General features: G+C 41.3%; 1 protein-coding gene across 11 annotated transcripts in view, besides 1 other annotated feature; it reads left to right on the top strand.

The window, feature by feature from the left end:
• Nucleotides 1–24,465, top strand: part of PIEZO2 (piezo type mechanosensitive ion channel component 2) — a 479,323-nt gene that overhangs the window by 92,573 nt on the left and 362,285 nt on the right. The window lies entirely within an intron of this gene.
• Nucleotides 21,813–21,872: an enhancer, noted in NCBI's record as "active region_13092". NCBI's record gives its function as "activates an Ori minimal core promoter by ATAC-STARR-seq in GM12878 lymphoblastoid cells {active_cell/tissue: GM12878}" and the evidence as "EXISTENCE:reporter gene assay evidence [ECO:0000049][PMID:35858748]".

Raw genomic sequence — 24,465 nt, 5'->3', positions numbered from 1 at the left:
TCAGTCTTCATTCAATGCACAGAATATTCCTAGTTACTCACAGATGGAATTTATGGACTGATAGTTGTTCCTGCTGAAACCAACTGAAAAGGGCTCTGGACAATTTCAGAATCAAAAACTAAGAATTTATGATCTGTTGCATGACTGGAGGAAGCATCTATCCTAGGTTTGTGGGTAGGAGCACCATGGACACCTGGAAAGGCTAATGGACACAGCTGACTGTGAAGAGGCCCAGGCGAGGCCTGGTTGTACATAGAGCCATTTCTGGACCTTCTCCTGAAGGTCTAGCAGCTCCTGGATGGCCCTCGTTCTTGAGCTCTTCTCATGACCCTGCCTGGCTCCCTGCAGCCTTCCTGCCTTGTTGATGTTCCAGTTGCTTCAACATTCCTTTTGGTCCATCCCCTTCAGTAACCAATCCTCTCTATTTAATGTTCTCTTTTCAAAATGCTTAGAGTGATTCCTGATTTCTGGTTGGGGCCTCACCTACTGAGATAATTACACACTTGAAGATCTGAAATAGCAAATCAAGAATTCTAAGAGCCTAGATTTCTAAAAATTTAGTTCCATCCACACTGACTTCCTCTCGAGGCTCTTCTCTCTGTGAGAATTTCTTCTGAAGAGCTGTGTGCAGTGGATGCTATGGAGTGATTTGGGACTGAGCCTCCCATTCCCAGCAGCTGGGAGGTGTTTCCTTGACCACTCTGAGCAAAATCCCTCCCTGGGAATTGGGGGTGGCTGAAGGGAGCTGCTTTACACAAACTTCTCTTCCCCGGCCAGGGGCAGCCTGGACCCAATGACCACTCAGCACAGGGTGCCGAGGCCTCAAAGCTGGAAAGTCTCTGAAGGGCTGTGGCAGCTCCAGAGCATCCCAGCAGCTGAGGCCCCCACTGCAAGAGCATGACAATCTGATCTGTCTCTCTGTGGGGTCTGGATTTCCTCACTCCCTGCCAGGTATCCCTGCAAGGGAATTGCCCCATAACCCTCCTGCCCCAGGAATCCATCTCAGCCTCCATTGCTGGGGAACCAGATCTCGGAAGGTCTTTGAAGCAGGGACCTTTGTCCCTGATGGAGCTCGAGGGCAGAGGAGTCAGCATAGAGGTGGTGGGACCTTGACACAGAAGTGGCTATCACACCCAGCGAAGGGCGCACACAACGGGGAAGGGTGCACACACTCGGCCAGATGCTGCAGCCCAGGCCCAGCGCGGCTCAGAGGCCCAGCCTGCAACTGACTTGACCTGGGCCTGGGTGTCACTTGTTTTGGTCAAGATTTCCCCCACTGCAACTGGAGACCCAAATCCCTCAGGGTTATTAGGCTTTGTGGGGATCAAATAAGCAGACATAATTTAAAACAAAATATAAAATTACTACACAAATAGTCACTGAGTCACTGTTATTAGTTGTAGAATTCACCCTAGTTTGAATTGGCACCTCTGTGCTGTCACAGCTCCCTTTGCCTGGAATTCTCTTCCCCAGATTTTGAATGATGGCCTCCTCCCAGAATTCAGGTTTATCTTAGATGTCCCTCCTTAAAACCTCTTCCCTCACCCCCTTAACTAAAGCTGACATACCCACATTTATTTTTCATGTTATGAGCAGGTTTTATTTTTCTTGGTATTTATACCTTTCCAAAATTATTTGTGCGACAAATCCATAGCAAGAGCTGGAGTTGCACACCCTGCCACTCAGCTCTTTTATTTTCCCCCTTGATTCTCCCTGCAAACCTCCTCTGTGGGGCGACCCTGCCCCTGCCCCTTGGTGAAATTCTTTTTTTTTTTTTTTTTTTTTTGAGACAGAGTCTCACTCTTTCGCCCAGGCTGGAGTGCAGTGGCACGATCTCGGCTCACTGCAAGCTCTGCCTCCCGGGTTCACGCCATTCTCCTGCCTCAGCCTCCCGAGTAGCTGGGACTACAGGCGCCTGCCACCGCGCCCAGCTAATTTTTTGTGTTTTTAGTAGAGACGGGGTTTCACCGTGTTAGCCAGGATAGTCTTGATCTCCTGACCTCGTGATCTGCCCTCCTCGGCCTCCCAAAGTGCTGGGATTACAGGCGTGAGCCACCGTGCCTGGCTGCCCCTCGGTGAAATGCTAAGCAGTCCCCAGTGCTTCTGCCCTCCAGTTTCTCAGGCAGGAGTGCCTCATCAGTCTAGCAAGTCCCCCACACCCCAGGATCATCTCATCCATGCTCCTCTCCCTGGGCTTGGCATTCTCTCAACCGTATCCAACTCTCAGTTTTCCCAACACTGATTCTTTCATATCTCCACAGGGTGGGGGCTATGGGTTGAAAATAAATATTCTTTTTCGCAGTGTTCACTGGAGAATGAGGGAGTGTTTGGCAGGAAGCCTTGGTTCCTCAGCCTTTTAGGAGCATCTCACTGTAAACCAAGTCAGGGTTTTATGTTAATACATTTATGTAGAATGTCTTTCCCTTCCAGTATATAAACATCAAGATGGCAAGGATATGCTTTTTTGCCCGAAGGTTGCCTGATGTATATAGCAGGCGTTCGTTCAGTAAATATTTGTAGAATGAATGAATTTTATTTCCAGTGTCTAGGATTTTAGACGAACGTATGAAACTAACTCTAGTCCTGTGCTTATGTCAATCTTCATAATAGCAAACATCAGAGAATAGTTATTGCATGCAGCAGTCCTCTGGAGACAGAAGCTTAGGATATCATAAGCCATGGGATTTGGCTTTTAGATTTAATTAGGATTGCAGGATCATGAGTAATTAAAGAAATCAAGACTCTTAAAAATGTTTTATGCTTTCGCTTACAAGGATGGGCATTTTATTTAAGTATGTAATACTGTAGGGAAGGAGATGAACATTTTCTTGCTCTTCACAAACTGTGCCTTCCATTAGGATTGAGATTGTCCTGCATTAAATTTATTAACTAATGTATAATTAACGTCAGGTCAGGTCGCCCAAGAATTGCAAACTAATGAGGTATTACGGTTTTTGTTTATTTGTTTATTTTGAGATGGGGTTTCACTCTGTCGCCCAGGCTGGAGTGCAGTGATGTGATCTCGGCTCACTGCAGCCTCCACCTCCCAGGTGCAAGCGATTCTCCCACCTCAGCCTCCCAAGTAGCTGGGATTACAGGGATGCACCACCACCCCTGGCTAATTTTTACAATTTTTTTTTTTTAGTAGAGACGGGGTTTTACCACGTTGTCCAGGCTGGTCTCGAACTCCTGAACTGCCTTGGCCTCCCAAGTGCTGGGATTACAGGCATGAGCCACTGCACCCAGCCCGAGGTATTAAGTCTTTTAACCCGATATATTACAGGTTCCTTATAACTTATGATATAGTGAGTGCCACATACTGGTCAATATGGTAGAAGAGTGTATTTTATTTGGATTGAAACAGATGCAATATGGAAAAAGGCCACAATAAGTGCTCAGTAAATATTGGCTAACATGCCCATCACAGTGGCACCTGTCTGTAGCCCCAGCTGCTTGGGAGGCTAAGGTGGGAAGATCCCTTGATCCCAGGAGGCCAGTCTAGGCAATGTTGCGAAACCCTGTCTCTAATAAATTTTTAAGTGGGCTGTTGTTATTATTATTTTGAAGCACAGCATTATTAATTTGAATGTCAGAGTGAGCTAGACTTAGAAATCTTATTCTCATTTGTGTGACTATAGCCAGTCTTTACTATAGGATCTTACTAGTGCTTTCTAAATATTAGTAAAGAAATATGAAATTTGCAAGGTTTTTTTGGTGTACTACTCCAAGATACAGCTGGTGTGTCCAATTTTTAGTTACATAGTACTTAGATTAATTGATTGGTCATTAAAGAGCTGATAGCCCTCTCTACTAAGTTCATAAAATTATTTACATGAATTTATTAATTTAATTTTCACAACACACGTTTAAGGGAGCTGTTACTATGATCAATAATCCTCATGTCACAGACAAAGACTGAGTTTCATGTGGGTTCATAGCAAGCTGCAGGACACCCAGGTGCTGCATGGGTGAGCCACACTCAGCCACTGTGTTGTTCTGACTCATGCCCTTGACGACAGAGCTAACGCTCCTGCAAATTTGCAAAGAAAGAAGGAAACCTAGTCACTTAATAAATACTTGTTGGCTGATACATCACCAGGCTCTGGGAACAAGGGTCTGGAGAGATAATGTGAGTATGCTTAAGGGAGATATTTTAATATGCATTGGTGCAGATAGATCATCACATACCTGTATGTTACATAGATAATATATCATATTAAGTGTGACCAATTATTTCTTTCACCAAATATTAATTGAAGGATTGTTCTTCCCAAAAGACTATATTTGGATTTGTAGAGGATAAAAAAGGTGGAGAAAAACACTGCTCTTAATTAAAGTCACCTCTCAAACATATTAGATTTTATATATCTTATTGAGTGGTAACTCTTTCAATGTAGCAATCTTAGAAAGCCACCTCCTTACTCCAGTGATGCTTTTATTTCTCTAAACTGATTAAATTAGACTTGTCAAATTTAAAAAAAGACTAGTATAAAACAAAGGGTTCAAAGGTGACTCCTTATCATGAATGTGGAGGCTTGAGGTTTATTTGAATGAGAACAGCTGGGCGAATACACGTGGAGTAACTATGTAGTTTTCCATGATGAATGTATGTGATCTCACATGTTATGAAATGAGATACCCAGGTGAGAAGGCAGCATCCTGAGGAAGTGTTAACTCACTGGATTCATCCTAGAATCCTGACTGTAAAAGTCAAGCAGTATCCATTTGGGACAGCCCAGAGACTCAGAGATTAATCTGGAGAGGTTCTTTATCTGAAGCACTGAATTTTATGTCACATTTCTGTGTGCCAGGTACTATTCTAAGTACCCTCTATACACTAACTCATTGTATTAGAGAATAGAAAAACCATTGATTGCAAAAGCAGAACCTCCATTCTGAAATGAAAAAAAAAAATTATGAAGCTAACTGGAATAAAAATCACTTAAACTAAGAATACCACATAAGGAGGCACTGAAATTAAAGCTCTTTTCTCCTATTGAAAAATTGAAACTGCCTCAGTGAGACCTGGTACATTTTGGTCAGTCTACTTCCTGCTTTTCTTTCGTGGCTTCACTTCACCAAGCCTTTCCAGTTGTCCACAGAGGTCCTACCCACAAAGCTGGCATAGATGCTTCCTCCAGTCATGCACCAGGTCATAAATTCTTAGTTTTTGATTCTGAAATTGTCCAAAGTCCAGAGCCCTTTTCAGTTGGTTTCAACAAGAACTACAGAAACATCCTTCCATTTACTCACAATAATTGATCGTTCTGATATTATCAGTAAAGTGGCCGCAGTCTGAGATAGGGGACACGCATCCAGCTACAGTGTGACATTTACTCTCTGCTGGAAATTGTTTCTGTTTGCTTATTTAGTCCTGCCAACAAGCTATCTTTGTGAATATGTGCTCTTGCAGGCTGGAGTAGATGGACAGGTCATATCTACTTCTTTCTTGGGAGAATCAGTTATTTATTGGGGGCTAGTTGAGAAGAAATGTGCTCCAAATCACAAGACTACACTTCCTGGGCAACACTAGCCGTTGTCCTACAGCCAGACTATTTTAGAAGAATCATCATCTAATCAGTTCGTATATGAAATGTTTATGTTACACCCACACCCACACCCACACCCACACACACACACACACACACACATCCTAAGTGATGGTTGCTGTCTAAGGTGTGTTAATTATTTCTAAGAACAAAGTTGTCGTCTTATCCAAGAACTCATCCTCAGTCTGAGAGCCTTTGTTCTGAATGCAGTCTGAGATTGGACAACATTGTAATAGATGAGGACAAAACCCCACAGTGGCAGATGAAAGGGAAGGACTTCTGGTGCCTGTGTGGGTTTCTCTGAAGTCTCTTCCATTGGGTTGTGATGGCTAGCTCTCCTGGAGTAACCAGAAGACAGATAATGACCCCAGTGTTTTGCTGAGGCCCATAAAATGGCCACGGGAATAATAACAGAACTGCACACTGCCAACCCTTTCAGGCCTTGCCCCCAAAATATTTTTTCAATATGTGCTTTTGTGGAGAAGATTTTTCTCCTCCTTGTTTTGAAAGGGGTAGGTTTCTGAAATATCATTTGAGTTTTTTTTTTTTTAAACCTGGTAAATTTTGCTTTGTTATCTTGAGCAAAGTAGCAATTCCCCAGATATATTTCCTTGCATTTACACTCAAAATTTATTATTAATTTTATATATATATAGTTTTTTAGGATCTTTTCCAACATTTGGAGAGGCAGAATTAGAAAGGGGTAGGAAGGGAGGGGCTTACTGTGCTTTGGTGACAATTGTAACCAAGTGAAATTTTTAGCAGATCAAGTTAACTTTTGTAACCTGTTGTCAAAGTCCTTAGAAGATAGAAAAACATATTTTATTCTACTCTGCTCTGGACAAGGGTTCTACTTTAAAAGGAAGTTGTGCTAATCCTGTAAGTAATCGTGTGTGTGTGTGTGTGTGTGTGTGTGTGTGTGTAAAATAAACACCAAAAGCACCTTATCCTGAGGCTCTGACCCAGCATACACTTTGCCAGATCACTAATGGCCCCTCAGAAAAGAAAAACGATGCCCCATTTGAAGAGGCAGTGCGATCTGTAACTTGTAAAGACATGTTTAGACATCAAAAAGGAAATAGTAGCAGACATTTAAAGCTGATTGCATCTGGTTTTGGTTAAAAACAGTGCTTATACCATTAGGCTTATTATTATTATTATGTTTTATTATGTCATAATAAAGCAAAACACAGGAAAATATTTAATTGGGTGAATTATTAGGTGTTTTATTATCAATATCAGCTCACCACCAAAAGGAATGCTAAAAAAAATTAGACGCCTGTTTCTTGAATTTTTAAATAAATTAATGCGGGTCTTTTAGGTTATTTTAGTTGTTCTTTTTTGAGATGGTACAGATGTCATATTCCATTGTTGCCTTATATTGGGCATACACTACTCAGTCAGACAGAGGGAGTTTCAGGCAGCCTATAATTCTCAGTTTAGGAAACACTAGGTCATATTATACGACTAAAGAAAGTATTTCAGAAGCCCCAAGCTTTTTGCTTTATTTGGCTACAATAAGTGTTATCTAAAATATGGCTTCACCTTTTGTATTACTCCGTTTTCATGCTGCTGATAAAGACATAGCTGAAACTGGGTAATTTATAAAGAAAAAGAGGTTTAATGGACTCACAGTTCCACGTGGCTGGGGAGGCCTCACAATCATGGTGGGAGGCGAAAGGCATGTCTTACATGGTGGCAGGCAAGACAGAAGGAGAGCCAAGCAAAAGGGGAAATGTCTTATAAAATCATCAGATCTCTTGAGACTTACTACCGTGAGAACAGTATGGGGGAAACCATCCCCATGATTCAGTTACCTTCCACCACGTCCCTCCCACAACATGTGGGAATTATGACAGCTACAATTCAAGATTTGATTTGGGTGGGGATGCAGCCAAACCATATCACCTTTTATTTAAATGCTGCCCTGTTATTACAGTTGAGTTAGTTCACTTGAGTTGGTGTCAGTTTGTTGATCAGCTCTTCAAGTTACCATTCTTTCATTTACTCATTTGACAAACGTTACCTGGTGTCTGCTCTACCAGGCCTTGTACTAGGCAGTTAGGCATACAAAGGTAAAGAAGACAGACCCTTGGTCACCAGAATATTAATCTGGCTCTGCCATCTATTCACTGCATAATCTCCAGCAAGTTACTTGAATTCTCAGATTCCTGCTTCCTCGAATGTTGAGTGCTTGTTACTGATCCTGGAGAGAACACTGAGGGGCTGGCAGTGCTGTTCACAAGAACTCATCAGGCCTGATACGTGCTGAAGAGATGGATAAAGCCCTCAAGAGGAGGAAACCGTAGCTCCTCCTTTGACTTCTTAGGGTTATTTTCCCTTTAAAGGTGTTTACCTGTAGCTGATTTGTTTATGTATTTTTTGAGTCAATTTATTTCAGTTTTTTTGAAGCTGACTTGCTTCAAAGCCTGGACGAGACTAATTTCTGATGGAATAATTTATTAGAGCATCTGAGCTTTACTTCATCTGTAGCTATTTTGCCTAAACAGACCCATTTGAATTTGAGTTGATTCACAGGAAATAGCCTTTTGAGATGAAAATTTATATTTAACTTTCAAAAAGTGCAGATTATTAATTATAAGAAGAATAAACAGGAAACACAGTATAGCTATATGCCAGGCAACTGTCCCAAGCTTTCTACATAGTAATTCATTTAATGCTTCCATACCCATGAGACAGGTATAGTATTATTTATGTTTTACAGATAAGGAAATTAAGAAACACACAGAGGCTACTGAATAATTCCTGAAACTATCATTTTTAAAAATTGATTCAGTGAGTGAAAGCTTCTAATATAAATAATTCAGTTATCTATATAAGCATTTCCCTCATTCTGCTGTATCTTACTATAAAATTAATAGTGAGGGAAGATAAATGTAGAGATTATGCATGTTGGGCACTTGCCTTCCAACATGTAAGTAGACAATTACTGTGCTTTAAGCTGCCTTTTAGTATTTCCTCAGCATTAAGCAGGGAAGTCAAATAAACACACTGAGAATACTGGTACAAAATATGCATTCATTTCCTTTGGTCACAGAATAAGCATTACTGAGTGTCTGAAATGGGCCAGGCAGTCCGCTTGGCCCCAGAGCCATGAGTAACCGTAAGACAGGTCTTTTCAATCTTGTGGGTCACCATTTTGTCCTTTCTTCTTTCCCTCTTCCCTTTCTCCATTTTTTAAAAAGTTAATTTTGCCTAGATTTATTTTCTGCATTTTTGCTTGCCAGTATTTTGTGCCCTTAAGGGGTATTGGGGAAAGTCACTAATAGTCTCCTCGGGCAGTCAGGAGCAGGGGCTTTCAGGCTTGAAGAGGTGTCACATGCTGTTGGTGGCAGTGGCTGCCGCTGTGCTCTTGACTGTCTACACCCAGCAGGTGTCACTGGGTGGGTTGGCCTGGAACCACTTTCAGAGCTGCAGACCATGCAGGAGGAAGGCCTGGAGTACCTGAGCATGCGTGTGTGCAGGATTGCATGTGGATTTCACGTCCTCAAGATGCCTGTTTTTCCTCTTTCCTGGCAACCTGGCCAGCCATTAACTCTTACAGGTCCCTTTGCACTTAGGTGCAAAGGAATGTCACCCTCAAACATCAATGTCATCATCATTATATTCGCATTCCCTGGGGTCTAATAGCATCTGCGGAATGAAAACTGCTCTTTTAAGATGCAGGGACACCTGTCAAAGCCATACTCTTAGTTGTTGTGGAGAAAGGCCCTAACTCCCAGTGTGGTGGCTGCTGTAGTGCTCTCCCCAGATTCCCCCCGTGCCCTCCTCCTTAGGACCAAGACTTCGATTCTCCCTATTGCCTGGAGTGTTGGTGTCTGAAAGCTCATGGCTGTGTCTGTTCTGGGAACTGTTTTCTGCTAAAAGGATCTGCCTTATCCAAGCTTTGCCTCCTCTTTGTTGTGGATGTGGCTCTCATTTCCAAGAGTGGAATTTGGGGGATGGGGAGGGAGGAGAGGAGTCCCTGTCCCCTTGCCCCTTGCCCTGTTCTTGGACAATTCCCCCGGGCCGTCTTGTGGGATAGGCAGGAGCCTTTGCTGCACTGCGCGGCTCCCTCGCTCCTACTCCATTCCAACCTTGCTCCCCACCCCCATCCCACTGCTATTCCTGAATGCTCACCCAGTGAATCATCCACTTGCCAGTCACCACCACTGTGTCTGTATCCACAACCTTAGCTGACCATCCAACAGCTCGGACAAGTTTGCGTCCATTCTCTGAGAGCAAGGGCAGCAGTGGTGGGAGGTACCATGCAGTAAGGAGGACCCCAGGGAGGCACGTGCAGAAAACGGGGCTCCTGAGTGTACCTGGACAGGCCATGCCCTGCACATGCCCCCATGGAAAGGATGAGTGAAGACGGAAATCTGGTCCTTGTTTTGCTACCAAAACCTAATACTGTAGTTCTGAATTGCATAAACTAGAATATTAAGGAGTCCCATGAGTGGGCTAGCAGTGGCCTTGCAGGAAAAAGTAAGAGAGAGCGTATCAAAGACAAGTTTTGGAGCAATACACAATTTCCTGAAGATGAGCCCTGGCTCCCCACAGATGCCCCTGTACATTTCCTCTTCCACCTTCCTCAGCCCTCTTGTATGGCTTCTCTATAGCCTGGCTGCCGGAGCACTGCACAGTAGATTGTATCTGTCAAGTCCTGGCCTGCCTTGGCCTCCTTGGCATGACCATTCCGTGCAGAACTAAATGGTCGACATAATTCCTAACTGCTTTATCCTGTATTGAGAGTTAGAAAGAGGCCAGGCCCTCAGGAGAACAAGAGATGGAGGGAGCCCAGAAAGTGGCTCATAGAGAGGCAAGACCTGAGCGAGCACCCAGCGGAGCCACGGCGCAAAGGAGCACCTGCCAGGTAGCTGTGTGGACGCGTGCACTCTCTCACTTCCACAATTACTTGTTAGCTGACTGTGTAGTAGGTGAGGATTGATTACTTATTTATCACCAGTTAGCTGACTGTGCAGTAGGTGAGGATTGATTACTTATTTATCCCCCGGCTCATTCAACAGCCAGGTTATTAGAAGGCCATGATCAAGGATACAGGCTGTGCTGACCACATTTTCATAAAAGTGAGAGTTCAGCCAACACTTGTCCCATAGGAGTGAGCTGAGAGCAGTGAGAAGGTGCTGATTGGGCTGCATCTGTCTTTGAATAGCAGTAACTGATTCTATCATTCAACCATATGTTGCTCATCAAATATTCAGCAGCTAGAGCTTTCACAAAGGCTTTTTGAAGGCCCACGCACATGCAGCAGGGAATAAGGAGACAAGTTTCTGAAAGCTGGGATGGGCTGGGCTTTGTGTTTGGAAATGGGGGACCAGCCAGTTGATTGGGGGAGGAGGTTAGGGGACAGTTGCCTGGGGAATTTTTAAATACTTGTGATCCAGAGTTTTGCTGATTTTTGACCTTCTGTGGAACACCCTAACAGAATCTGAATGAGCAAGTCCTGTACATTTATTCATGCGACAACCTATCGCATAAAGATAGCACAACAGTGAGTGGTGGGACTAGATAGAGTGTGGGTTGAGTGATTCATACAACGGCAAGCAAAACCAGACGTAGCCCCTCTCAGCCAGAAATGGACTGTCTAGTTGGTGATCCTAAAGGGTAAGTTGAATTGTATAGAATACATTCTAAAGCCTAAATATAGTTAATCCTCATTATTTACAGATTCTGTATGTGTGAATTCACATTCCTGCTAAAATGTATCTGTAATCCCAGATCAATACTGAAAATGCTTTCAGGGTCATTCTTGGGCATGCACAGACTGCAAAAAATTTGAGTTCCCCAAAGCCCATGTTCCCAGCTGAGCTGGCACAAAGTGACACTCTGCTCTCTTCCTTTACTTCTCATACCATAAACAAGTGTCCGTTCATCTATTTGATGCCACATTTTTTATATTTCGTGTGTGATTTCACGGTTTAAAATGGCACCCATGCATGGTGCTGAAGTGCTGTCTAGGGTTCCCAAGCACCGGAAGGCTGTGATGTGTCTCACGGAGAAAATACATGTGTTACATTGGCTTTGTTCAGGCTTGAATAATTTTGCTGTTGGCCATAAGTTCAATGTTAATGAAACAATAATGTATATCAAATAGGTTTTCTCTTTTTTTTTTTTTTTTTTTTTTTTTTGAGACGGAGTCTCACTCTGTCGCCCAGGCTGGAGTGCAGTGGCGCGATCTCAAAGCAAGCTCTGCCTCCCGGGTTCACGCCATTCTACTTGCTGCCTCAGCCTCCCAGGTAGCTGAGACTACAGTCGCCTGCCACCATGCCCGGCTAATTTGTTTTGCATTTTTAGTAGAGACGGGGTTTCACTGTGGTAGCCAGGATGGTCTCAATCTCCTGACCTCGTGATCCGCCCACTTTGGCCTCCCAAAGTGCTGAGATTACAGGCATGAGCCACCGTGCCTGGCCCCAGTAAGTTTTCTTTTAAAAAAAATTTTTAGAAATGAGGTCTTAGTGTGTTGCCTGGTCTGGTGTTGAACTCCTGGGCTCAAGCAGTCCTCCCACCTTGGCCTCCCAAAGTGCTGGGATTACAAGCATGAGCCACTGCACCCAGCCAATACATTTTCTTTAAAACAGAAACACTCATAACACAAGATTATGTATTGATCTGTGGACAAAAATGTAACCAGAGGCTCACAGGAACCTAACCTTGTATTTCCCCTAAGAACAATGGTTCAGTGTTCGCTAATTCTATCTTCATAGCAATGCTATAGACATAACAACCATGAATAACAAGAATCAACTGTATAGATTTCACAGTAGAATGTGAGGGTTAGGTTTGTAGTGACACAGAGGCTTGAAAAAGGAAAGTACGACCATCATACTTTTTGCAACACATTTCTTTAAGGTGGTTATGTATTCCTATCTTTGAAAATAGTGTGGCCTAGGAAAGCCTCTATAAAATGGCTACAGCTTCCTCTTTAGTGAAGTATTCTCTGTATTTGATTCACAATTAGTGGTAACTTTTCTGAAATGTTTTTTAGAAGGCCTGGAACTTTAAACTTAAGACTCAGTCTGCATCTCAAAGTGCCGTACTGTGTTAGTTGAGTGTTATCCTTACAGGTGCAAAGAAGCGGGTGTGAAAGAAACTTGTACTTGTGTTTTATTTTCAATGCTTAAGTTATTATTAATAATATTTGTTTCCACATTTTGAAAAGACTTTATTTGTTATAATACAACAATTTCCTGAGGTAGTATTATTTAAATATATATTTTATGTATAATATATATTATATTAGTGTGTGTGTGTATATATATATATAGTATATTAGTATACACAAACACAAAGAAAATTTTCCTCAAAATTTTTTTATCTCAATTTTGGATTCTAAAGTATCCTACTTTATTAAAATGCATGAAAGGAATAATAGCATAAATCTTGGGAAATGTCAGTACTAACATACTGATAAGATCATTTTTACTTACAATGGTATTCTTTTTAAAAATACCAGCCAGACACGGTGGCTCAACCTGTAATCCCTGCACTTTTGGAGGCCAAGGCAGGTGGATCACCTGAGGTCAGGAGTTCATGACCAGCCGGGCAAACATGACGAAACCCCCTGTCTCTACTAAAAATACAAAAAAATCAGCCAGGCATGATGGCACGTGCCTATGGTCTCAGCTACTCAGGAGGCTGAGGCAGAAGAATTGCTTGAACCCGGGAGGCGGAGGTTGCAATGAGCCTGGGCAACAGAGCAAGACTCGGTCTCAAGAAAAAAAAAAATCAGTAAGCTCTCTGTGTATTTTGGGAAGTATATGTGTTTAGGGATAATATGGATACTTTTTTCCAGTAGATTTCATGATTCTTTTCTTACTCTCAGTTCTTGTTATACTGATAGATTTGTTGTCTCTCTCTTGCTCTCTCAACCTCTCTCTCTCCTACAGAGAAAAAATCTCCAAAATTAACATAAAAATTACTACAGTCTACACACACCTGTTATTACATGTGTTTGTGTTGTAGTTATGATTGCCAGATAAATTGTTTGAATTTCAGACATACAACAAGTAATTTTTAGCATACTAATACGTGGGACATTTATACCAAAATATTGAATTATTCATTTGTATTTGAAGTTGAAATTTAAATGTATGTGCTGTATTTTATTGTCTAATCTGGTAACCCTAATAATCATACATATATGTTCTGTGAGTGTGTGTGTGTGTGTGTGTGTGTGTGTGCGTTTAAAGGGAGGAGATATTTCCTCTTTTTTCAAATCACCATTTGCTTGGCTCAGTTTGGGCTCCATAAGATAAGCATTTGTAGACTCCAGTCTTCAATTTAATGCAAAAGTTGATCTACTCTACCAAGTGTTCATTTATACAGACATCATACGTTAACAACAAAACATACTAGAAATTTGATCAGGCTGGGATTATGGTTAGCCAATTAGACTTGTATCTGGAGTACCCCTCCTTTCTATGGCCAAACAATTTTTTTGGATAATATATTTTTGTCTTTAGAACCAAATTACTGATAAAACCAATAATTATCCTCAGATTCTTCTTTGAAGAAGTATTTTCTGTATCTCATTTAACCATAAATTTAATTCAACTTGGAAGGTTGATTAGCATCCCTGAATTATTTTATTAGCTTGAGTTACATACTGACATTTTACAATCTACTTAATGTGCTATGGATTTTATTTCTGGCATTTCTTTTCCTGCCCCCCAAAGGTGTATGACATCTGAGCAAATCTGAGACCAAGCATGCCCATCTGGTGACAATGACGATTGCCTTTCTAATGGGTAGCCTCCTCTCAGGCACTGAGATGCAGTAGCATGTAGGATGGAAAGAGTCCACATCTGTGGACAGGTCACCCTGTTCTCTAACCTCAGCTTTCCACCCTGCCTCCCACCACAGCGAGTCTAGCTCAGACAGCATTATCTCAGGGCATCATTGTTTTGCAGACAAGAAACCGACACTGGTCACTGGTGATGTTTATTCATTCACTGTTTTGATTGATGAAGTAGTCAAACTTCCTCTTCCCACACTAGCTATCTAAAATGTGGCCACACAAGGGTCAGAGAGGACTGTGTGTATGAAGTGCACATGGCCATCCCCAGCCTGCAGGCCTGCGTGGGTGGGGTGGGATCTGACCCTGTGTGACTGAGCTGTGACAGCTGCTCCTGGCTCCTCATAGCAGCCCTCCTCCTGAGACTGTGGGGACGAGGGCTAGATCTCAGATCCAGGGTCTGTCCTCTGAGAAGTCATCTTTACAGGCGGATTTCTTAGTGTTTTTCATTGGCAGAGGCAGGCTTTTCCTTGTGTGACCTCAATGAAAGTATATTTGATCATCCTTAGAGGAGATGACTAGAAGGTACTCCATATTGTCTCTCCCCAGAACACTGCTGAGAGGCAGCATTTTTACCAGAGAGATGATTTGGCCTTCAGCAAGTAATCTGAAATAGAAATGATGGATAGAAGACGCTAGCCAACCAGGAGCTCAGAGAAGATGGTCATCTAGACAGAGATACCTGGGGCATGGCAGTCATGGAGAAGAGTCACTGTCACTCTTTCTGCTCAGTCCTAGAGATAGTTTTCAATGCCACTGCATTTTGCCCTAAGTGGTAATATAGATACTGAATGAATGGATGTTACTCTGCTGGAGATTTCAATAAAGAGGTAGTAAGTAGGTTCCTTGTTGGGTTTTACTCAATTTTCCAAATTTGTATAGCATTTACATTCATTTACATTTTTATAAGTTGTCGTTAAGCAGCAATAGTTTGTATTTTTTTTACATTAAGAAGAACCATACAAATTGACATCGTAGAAAAATGATGAAAAAATGTAGTGTAAACACAAAAGACCACAGATGTGGAGAGATAATATGGTAAAATAAACAATGAGTAACATCATGATGTCCTTCAGTTCCAGCTATTTAGTATAAAAACCCACTGACCTTTACAAACAATGAAAGTGACTGTGTGGAGTACAGGATGGATTCTATAGGGCTGTTTTTGCTTTGAAATCATGCCTTTGTCTATTCATGAACTCGAGGCTGAACTTCCAAGGCCACTCTTTCCTCCAATCTGCACAGACTTTCACAGCTTCTGAGCTCGGTGTTTAATTTCTCTTTCTCTTTATCCTTAGGGCTCTTGATTAAATTTGGGAACTTGTGAATTATGTAGTCCCATCTACTTAGCAGCTGGAGGGCAGCTTCTCTGAACTTTGAATTTTGCATATTTTGCAGATATTAATACATGACTGTTTAGGGTTCCCTGGCAGATTATTCCAAAAACTTTTGGGCAGTGATGAGAACAGTTTAATTTGAAGACAAACCATTTCATAGTTCGGGTTTTAGAATTCGTCTTTTCTCCCACCTGCCTTGGACTGTCCGTTTTCAGAGGATGCCCTAACTTTCCAGGTTGTGTGCCTGGTCTCACCCAGAGAAAGGGTTCTGCTTCCACCAGAGGGAGCTGTTTTGTAGAAAACAGTTCAATGTGGCATTTCAAGGACTTTCGGACCATTCCCACTCACCCCATTTAATTGGCCTCATTCCTAATTTTTCTAGAAAAATTAAAATAATTTTAACTGATCTTTTATTTTAAGTGTTATTTGAGGTTTGAATTGTGAAAAAGTAAGAATGTTTTTCAGAAAGGAGACTAATGGAATCCAACTTCATGAAAATCAAATTTATTGGGAAGAAAAGTGGCACTAAGAACTGACTTAATGTGAAACCAAAATACACTTTTTTCGCCCACATTGAGGATAATTATGGGGACGAGGACCAAAAGATAGGAGGAATGATTTCAGAAAGAGACGTCTCTACTCTGGGTACAAATGCACCTAATATGCAGGTACATAGATCATATTAGAATATGTATTTTCTATATGAATGATACAATCCTGAAAATTACGTAACATTCACATTCCCAGCCAAGTACTTCTGTGCTATTGTTCAAAAACAGCAACAAAACATCCCCTTATGTAGCTAATTTAATTATACCACAGAATTGCTTTACTTATCAATAGTGAAGATGACAGTTAAAACCCTGATTATGTTCTGATCAATTTAGTCATTACCTCCTCAACCTTTATTGGATATTTTCTTAGTTAGGACTTAAGATATAAAGAAAAATAAATAAAATAATGTCTCTAAACTCAAGGAGTTCAAAATTTAATTCTGAGGTTATATTTAGAAACAGTGCTAAAGGAGTAAGCGTAAGGTGTCAATAATAATAATAGAAGAAATAGCTAAAATGTATTGTTCTAAAAGGGAAGAGAATGGACTTCTTCTGGACTTGTTGAAGAGCAACTACTGAAAATTCTGATTTTGGTTTGACATAGCTGATATGAAGCCTTTTTTTTTTTTCAGATGGTATTTAGCCAACAAGAACTCTATGATTTTTGAGGCTTTTCCTGAAAAGTTAAAGCAGGTTCATGTCATCTGTAGAGGTGTATATTTGACTTTCTGGACTACAGTTTATCCAAGGCTGTTCCAACTTGTATAGCTCTCATTTAAAAAGCAGAGTCTGTGTGTCTATACGGGGTGGGGAGGGTTGGAGAGGTTAATGCAGTTGTATTTCCTTTTCGTAAGAATGCATCAGGAAGCTAAATCCTTGAAGGGATCTTAAAATATCAAGTATTTTAGCTTATTTTGCTAGTTTTTAATTCTGAGAGTGGTGATGAAAAGGGGAAGAAATTTTGTGTGTGTGTGTGTGTGTGTGTGTGTGCCTATTTAAAATAGATTCAACTTAAGAAGTGAAGTTATATAGGTTAATAGGATGACATATATAATCATCCAATCAACCAATAAAGATATAGGATAATATATGTCATCCCATTGACCTATATAACCTCACTTCTTAAGTTGGATCTATTACATGTGGATCATATATATATGTTAGTTATATGACACATATAGTTATATATATGTCAGTTAGAGGAGAGTGAGAAAGGAGTATTCAGGATATTTGCTTGAATGTTTGACAGGAGAGCACCACTGTTCTGTGACGTAAAACCAGAAAATGGAGCATAATAAAAACATTCGCCAAAGCAGGCTAGTTTAAGAAGAAATCTGTTCAAACGATGTCTCTAATATCTTGGAGCCTGCAATAGCTTTTTTCCGCCCTTTCTGCCTATAGAATGTTCCATTTGTCTGTTTTTCCCCTTTCTGCCTACAGAATGTTCCATTTGTCTGCAAAATTAAAGTCAATGCATGTGTGTTATCTTCTGCAAAGAGTGTGCTGCTGTCACCCAATCGCTTGTTGAGCCCAGCATTGCGGGAGGGATTTTATGCATGCAGACCATGCTAATGAATTTCTATGTATTACTTTAAGCTATAGAGGTTGTATTCGTTCTGTTCTTTCCTTTCCCTTCCTTTCTGTTCCCTTTTGTTTTATTTTCAGCCTGGGATCTTACAGACTGCCTGAGCTTGGTTGTTAAGACTAATTTTGTGAATTAGACACATATCCTAAACAATATCTTTTGCCCAGTTATTTTGCGTAAGGATATATCAAACACCTATCCACCTATGTCTAGTCAAAGCTACAGTGGTTTCAAAATCATGATTCTTACTGTCTTCTTTTTTATCTTAAAGAGGTTGGAAACATTGGAAAATTCAAGCATAGCCCTTTATAGATTTTTTAAGTTTCATATGTTATCTAATTTGTGTCTCACCGTTATACCTATAGGTTGTATAGAGCTAATTTTATTTGTATGTATGCATGTATTATACATTTAATCAATGCAGAAATTGAAATGTTGAGAAGATACATAATTTACCCAAGAACACTTATTAAGCAAGTGGTAGGGCCAGTAGAGGAAGCCACGTTTCTGGGCTCTGATGGAATGCTCTTTCCTGACTACATGCTGCTCCTCAGCTGCACTGTGGGGTGTTCACAGGTCATAGATACATTCAGTCTTCATCCAGGGGTTTGCAGGAGGAGTACTGCCTCCCATATCTCAATGGGTGTTGGAAAATGATGAATGAGCACAAGAAACTGCATTGTACCTAAAACTTTTGGAATGGGTGGAGATTCTTAAATAAGGGCCTCCGGCTTACACTTGGCATGGGAATGGTTACCTTTTAATTTCCTGTCATTGAGTAAGTTTGAGTTAAAAATTAAGGAAGGAAAATACAACTTAGAAATAATATTGCTCAGCTAAGCAGTTTAAAGATTTGTGGCTTTTTCTTGCAAGCAATTTACATTATCCAAGCAGAATATGATGAATTATATGTGAACGGGTGGTATGATTTTTATGGCTGTGTTACTGTATAGTGGTTCTGGTGACTAGGACCTAGAGAAAATGAGAAAGGTTATAAAGACTGTAATTTTACTAGAGTTCTCTTAAAGTGTGCAGAGTATCTTTTACAATGTTTTGAGCCAATGAAAAACAAGTGTGACTTCCTCCTTCTTATCTTACATCTCACCTACTGTTGTTTAACTCAGAAGTCCAGGTGGACATAAATGCATACAAGTGTGTGGCAATGGGGTATTCAGGTTCTTACTCAGAGTCTTATTTGGTCCAGAAGTGTTTTTGATATGGAGACAAACTTGGAAAGGAAAATTCGTTTGCAGAAATTATTTAAGTGCCTAACAAACCTATATGGATGGAAACATTAAGAAAACTTTGCATATTATAGCCCCTGTTACTTTGACATAGAATCATAATTCTGGAAGAAATCCACAAAGGTCAGCAGGCTTTTCTTTGTTTTTCTTCAGTTAGGCACCAAGTCAAACAGACTGCCGGAGTCACAGGCCTGTCATTTCATATGTGTTTAACAGCAAAGTGGTCTTCTGGAAAGAGGGCTGGAAACAGGGAGAGTGCTTTCAGAAATGGCAGAGTAGGTTAGCTTCTTTTATGAAGTTCCCTCTCATTCCAATCCATAATAATCTCTCTCTTCTGAACCCCTATAGGACATAAAGTCCATATTTCACAATTTAGGACTTACAATCTACTCTAATTGCTCAGAATTTTAAAAAATAAGTGTGAATTGTGTTGAACTGAATTGTATTTTTCTTCCAATTTATTTCATAGAACATAGAATTGGAGCTCAATAATTATTTTTTAGTTTAGCTTGTTTGCAAACTGACCAATACATTAACAATAAACGTTTTCATTTCTGTTTCTTCTCTCCTCTTACGTGGCATACAATTTCTAGGATACATCTTTTAAGTTGGGATAATACACTGTTGGGGTAAACATATAACTTTCTCTGTAATAAGTGTTGCAAAACGAATTCCATACTGTACTTTTCTGTTTTATAAGCTAGAGGCGAAGGATGCTTTAAAAAGTTCTGACTGGCCGACATGGTGAAACCCCGTCTCTACTACAAAAATACAAAAATTAGCCAGGTGCAGTGGTGGGTGTCTGTAATCCCAGCTACTCAGGAGGCTGAGCCAGGAGACTCACTTGAACCCAGAGGTGGAGGTTGCAGTGAGCCGAGATCGTGCCATTGCACTCCAACCTGGGCGACAGAGTCTCGCTCTGTCACACACACACATGCAAACACACGCACACAAATAAGAAAAAAAAATTCTGACTGCAAGTATGAAGTGCCTGGGTCCACGTGGAGTTTATATCTATTGCAATATAATTACGGGATTTTAACACATCACTCTCAATCACAGGACATAACAACTGTCAGTGTGTGACCTGGTTTGGCATGCAGATACTTACCCATGAGGAGAATAATTCAGTATCAAGGAGATATCAAAGTAATTCAATTTTATTATGATTTTAATGATACTTTCTCCAAATTTATCGCATAACACAAACTCAGTAGAGCCATATCGGTTACATTGGTGAAACCAGTTTTAATTATTCAGTGCCTGCAAAAGTCTGTCAGAGTTTATATAAAATAAAATATGTATATATTTTATATTAAATATAAATATTTGATTTCTTTATTTATATCTTATTTTATTCCACAGAATGTAAGGTTGCTTACAAAAATATATGCAGCATAACACAGAGCACAGCATACGAATAAAGATATATCCAGGGATAAAATTAATACCCAAAGTCTTGCAGCTTTACCGGGGGAGGTGGGGTTGCCAGAAATTCCAAGTGTTTTAGCAGCCAAGTCAAAGAGGGAAATAGTTATGTACAGAATTCAGAGTCCCTAAGATGAAAAACATTAGGTTTTTCAGCAGTGTAGCAATTCTTAACGTTATGGCTTGGAATCAATTCTGCTTATTCATTCCCAGGAAGAGGACACAGTGAGATGCTGTGAAACCACATTCTTATAACCTCTTCAGCAAGTAAAATAACCAAAGCTATTTTCCTGCTTACCTTAGGCATAAGATACAATTTAGGAACTCCAAGGGAACAAAGGGCTTCATTTGCTTTAGGCCAAGGGGTTCTCAGTACTGCAGGCACATTAGAATCTCCTATGAACTGTGACCTGGGCCTCTAATTAGGTCAGATTCTCTGGATGAGGGACAGAGGCCTTGCTTGTATTGACAGATCCCAGGTGACTCCAAGGTGTGCCCCAACTGAGCACCTGTGCTTCAAGCATGTTCCAGGTGTGGACTTCTTGCTAACAAGCAAACATAGGAAGTGGCAGAGATTTGGAGTTCATTCCTCTGACAAGTATTTGGAGTACAGATATTATTTGCTGTTCATTAGGGGAGACACCCATGGGCTTTAAGAGTCAGAGTTTCATATTATTTTAGGAGTTGGCTTATTTACAAATATGTGCTGCACCTGTTTAGCTCATCTTCCCAGAGGTAGTTTTGTGGAATAATAATTTCATCATCATAATCACACTTTCCAACCCTCTGTGTCCATTCTTCAGGGATAAGAGTGACTTCCTATGCATATTAGAGGTCTCTGCTGTTTTTTCTATTTCCTGATAATTAGCCTGCAGATCCTCTTTGTGTGGTAGCTGCCAAGTAAATTGCATGTGTCCCCTGCTGGCAAGAGGAGTTGTGTTAGCCCATTTTGCATTGCTCTAAAGGAATATCTGAGGCTGGGAGATATGTAAAGGAAACAGGTTTATTTAACTCATGGTCCTGCAGGCTGTGCAAGCACGGCACTGGCGTTCTTCTGGTCAAGACCTCAGGAAGCTTTTACTCATTGTGGAAGGCAAGGAGGGGGCAAGCCTGTTGCATGGTGAGAGAGGGAATGAGAGAGAGAGAAAGAGAGAGAGAGAGAGAGAGGGAGAGAGAGAGAAGGTGCCAGGCTTTTTAAACAACCAGCTCTCCGTGAACTAACAGAGCAAGAACTCTCTCATTACTGCTGGGACCAAACACCTCCCACCAGGCCCCATGTCCAATATTGGGGATCACATTTCAACAAGAAATTGGAGAGAGGACAGTATCCAAACCATCTCAGGAGTCAGAAGCAGCCCTCAGCTCCATCCCCTTCTACACACTCTGTAATAAATTGATTTCGAAAGTGAATGAGCTTGCCATGCATTTGGGAACTGGGGTTGCTTCTGCTTTGCTCTGCAGGCTGAGAAGACCTTGAGTTACCTTCTGACTCATTCCTAACGTTGGTGGAAAAGGAACCTGTCTGGCAGTCAGGAAGTTGGGATCTGGTGAACACATGATACACAATTTTAAAACGATTATGAGTGCTGGATACTTGATTCTGGGAGAGGTTTTTGTTTGTTTGTTTGTTTTTGTTTGAGACGGAGTCTCGCTCTGTTGCCCAGGCTGGAGTGCAATGGCGCGGTCTTGGCTCACTGCAACCTCCACCTCCCAGGTTGAAGCGATTCTCCTGCCTCAGTCTCCCGAGTAGCTGGGACTACAGCCACAGCACCCAGCCTCTGGGAGAGTTTTTTACGCACACAAAACCCTACGTGTTTGTTTTAGTTCCACTAATAGGTAGTGGTAGGAGGATAAGACTAAGTGAAGACAAGACTAAGAAATGTTACATTTAGCCAGGCGCGTGGCTCACGCCTGTAATCCCAGCACTTTGGGAGGCCGAGGCGGGCAGATCACGAGGTCAGGAGATCGAGACCATCCTGGCTAACACGGCGAAACCCCATCTCTACTAAAAATACAAAAAAATTAGCCTGGCGTGGTGGCGGGCGCCTGTAGTCCCAGCTACTCAGGAGGCTAAGGCAGAATGGCGTGAACCTGGGAGGCGGAGCTTGCAGTGAGCCGAGATCGCACCATTGCACTCCAGCCTGGGCGACAGAGCTAGACGCCGCCAAAAAGAAAAAAAAAAGAAAAGAAAAGAAATGATACATTTAATCAGTAAATAGACTTCCCTCCTTCTCACCCATTTTTTAATAGAGAAAATAACGTTGCTTCTGTTTCAGTCAGAATGGAGTAAATTAAAACTTCTGACTGAACTATTTTGGAGAGAGGAGCAGCACAATAAGAATTTATTGAAGAAGTGTACAAAGACAGGTACGACGAGCACTAGCGTCCCTTGGGAATTCGCACACACAGCATTGGGTGAGAAGAGGCCACTAACGAAGTCCAGCCAGAGCTTTTGGACTTTTAAAGACTGTCGAATTTTTTTTTAAATCTGAGGGTTTTTTTCCCCTTCAGTTTCAAATCAGCACAACATTAGCTCGTATAAGTTTTTCAGGTATTAAAGTTATAAACCAACCCGGTAAAGTCTGAAGATAATATTTTTGGTGGAAAGTTAGGAAAAAACGTGACTGTCAGCTTTGCACATTCTTAGCAGTCCGTGATTATGCACTCCATTATGTTGAGCATCCCAAGCTTGTTCGGTCGGATACCAATTTTAAATCAAATTTTGACTTCCTCCGAGAGCGACTGTTTTGAGAGCAATATTTATACTCTTGGTATGACTGGTTCACATGACAGAAAGTGCTTCATTTCTGGCATGTGCTATATATGTCTGACTCGTTATATGGTTTATGTTTTCAGACTAGCTTTTTTCAGTGAAATGCAGTATTTTGACATTCAGCATCAGAGAAGTTTTCCAGGAGTCAAACATGTGTCATGGAATGCGTTCCTTAAGTGTGTCTTGGAGGCAATTCTGTAAAAAACATGGCAAAATGTCACTTTCTCTAAATCAACATTATGCTAACTTTGACATTAATCACAGTCTAAATACAAATCCATGACAGATAGAATGTTCACACAAATCCAGGGGCGTGTCTGCCTTAGGTGGGCAGGAGAAACCTGCACCAGTGAGATCTTGCACTCTGGCTGGAGTCCTGCCCTAAGTCCTGGTGGTCTAGTGTCTACAGCCAGGAATGATGTTAGAGTCAGATCCTGCCTTCTCCATAGGCCAGCCTTAGGGCTTTAGGTAAGTCACTTTGCCTCTCAGTCTTAGTCCCCTCATGTGTGAAATGAAGGAGAGAACAGTGCCCACATGTGTGTTGTAGAGAGGACTCAATGACGTAATGTGTTGGGCTCACGGTAAATGCTCAAAAGGTGCTGTCTATTATTGTTTCTCTCCTCTTGTCCGTATATGACCAGTCAGAAAAGGATTATCTGGGTGCCACCAGACCCTGGAACTCTGTCTCTGTACGCTTGCCCTGGAAGAGAGGGAGGCAGAAGCCAACCTCACTCATTTCTCATCTACCTTGACTGTGAGTCCAGTGCTATCCATGGCTAGAAGGGCCTCAGCAATGTTCTCCTCTCTGTCTTCTGAGCTACTCAGATACTCCATTCATTAGGCCTGTTACATGCTTAGGGTGGGCTACTTAAACAGGCGAGGTCCAAAAGAGTTCTTATCGATCTGACTTCAAAAGCTTTTAAGGGCAGTTGTTGGGAAACATGTCCTTTGTCTAGAAAACTCTACATCTGTATGTGTGCACATATTCACACACACACATGCATAGAGAGATTTCTGCTACTGTGAACAGTAACATTTTAAAACTGAAATGCATTTGCCTTATTGCTCAGAACATACTGCCTTTTTGAAAGGCACAAACCTATCCTTTGTATTTCAAAATCTCCAGAGGTATTTGTTGTGTTTGCCCCTGTGCTCTTATGACCAGGGTAGTCAGAAT

Source organism: Homo sapiens, chromosome 18 (assembly GCF_000001405.40).
Source record: "Homo sapiens chromosome 18, GRCh38.p14 Primary Assembly".
NCBI classification, from domain to species: Eukaryota; Metazoa; Chordata; class Mammalia; order Primates; family Hominidae; genus Homo; species Homo sapiens.
Note: the sequence above shows the minus strand (reverse complement) of the source record. Positions and strands in the feature narration are given on the sequence as shown.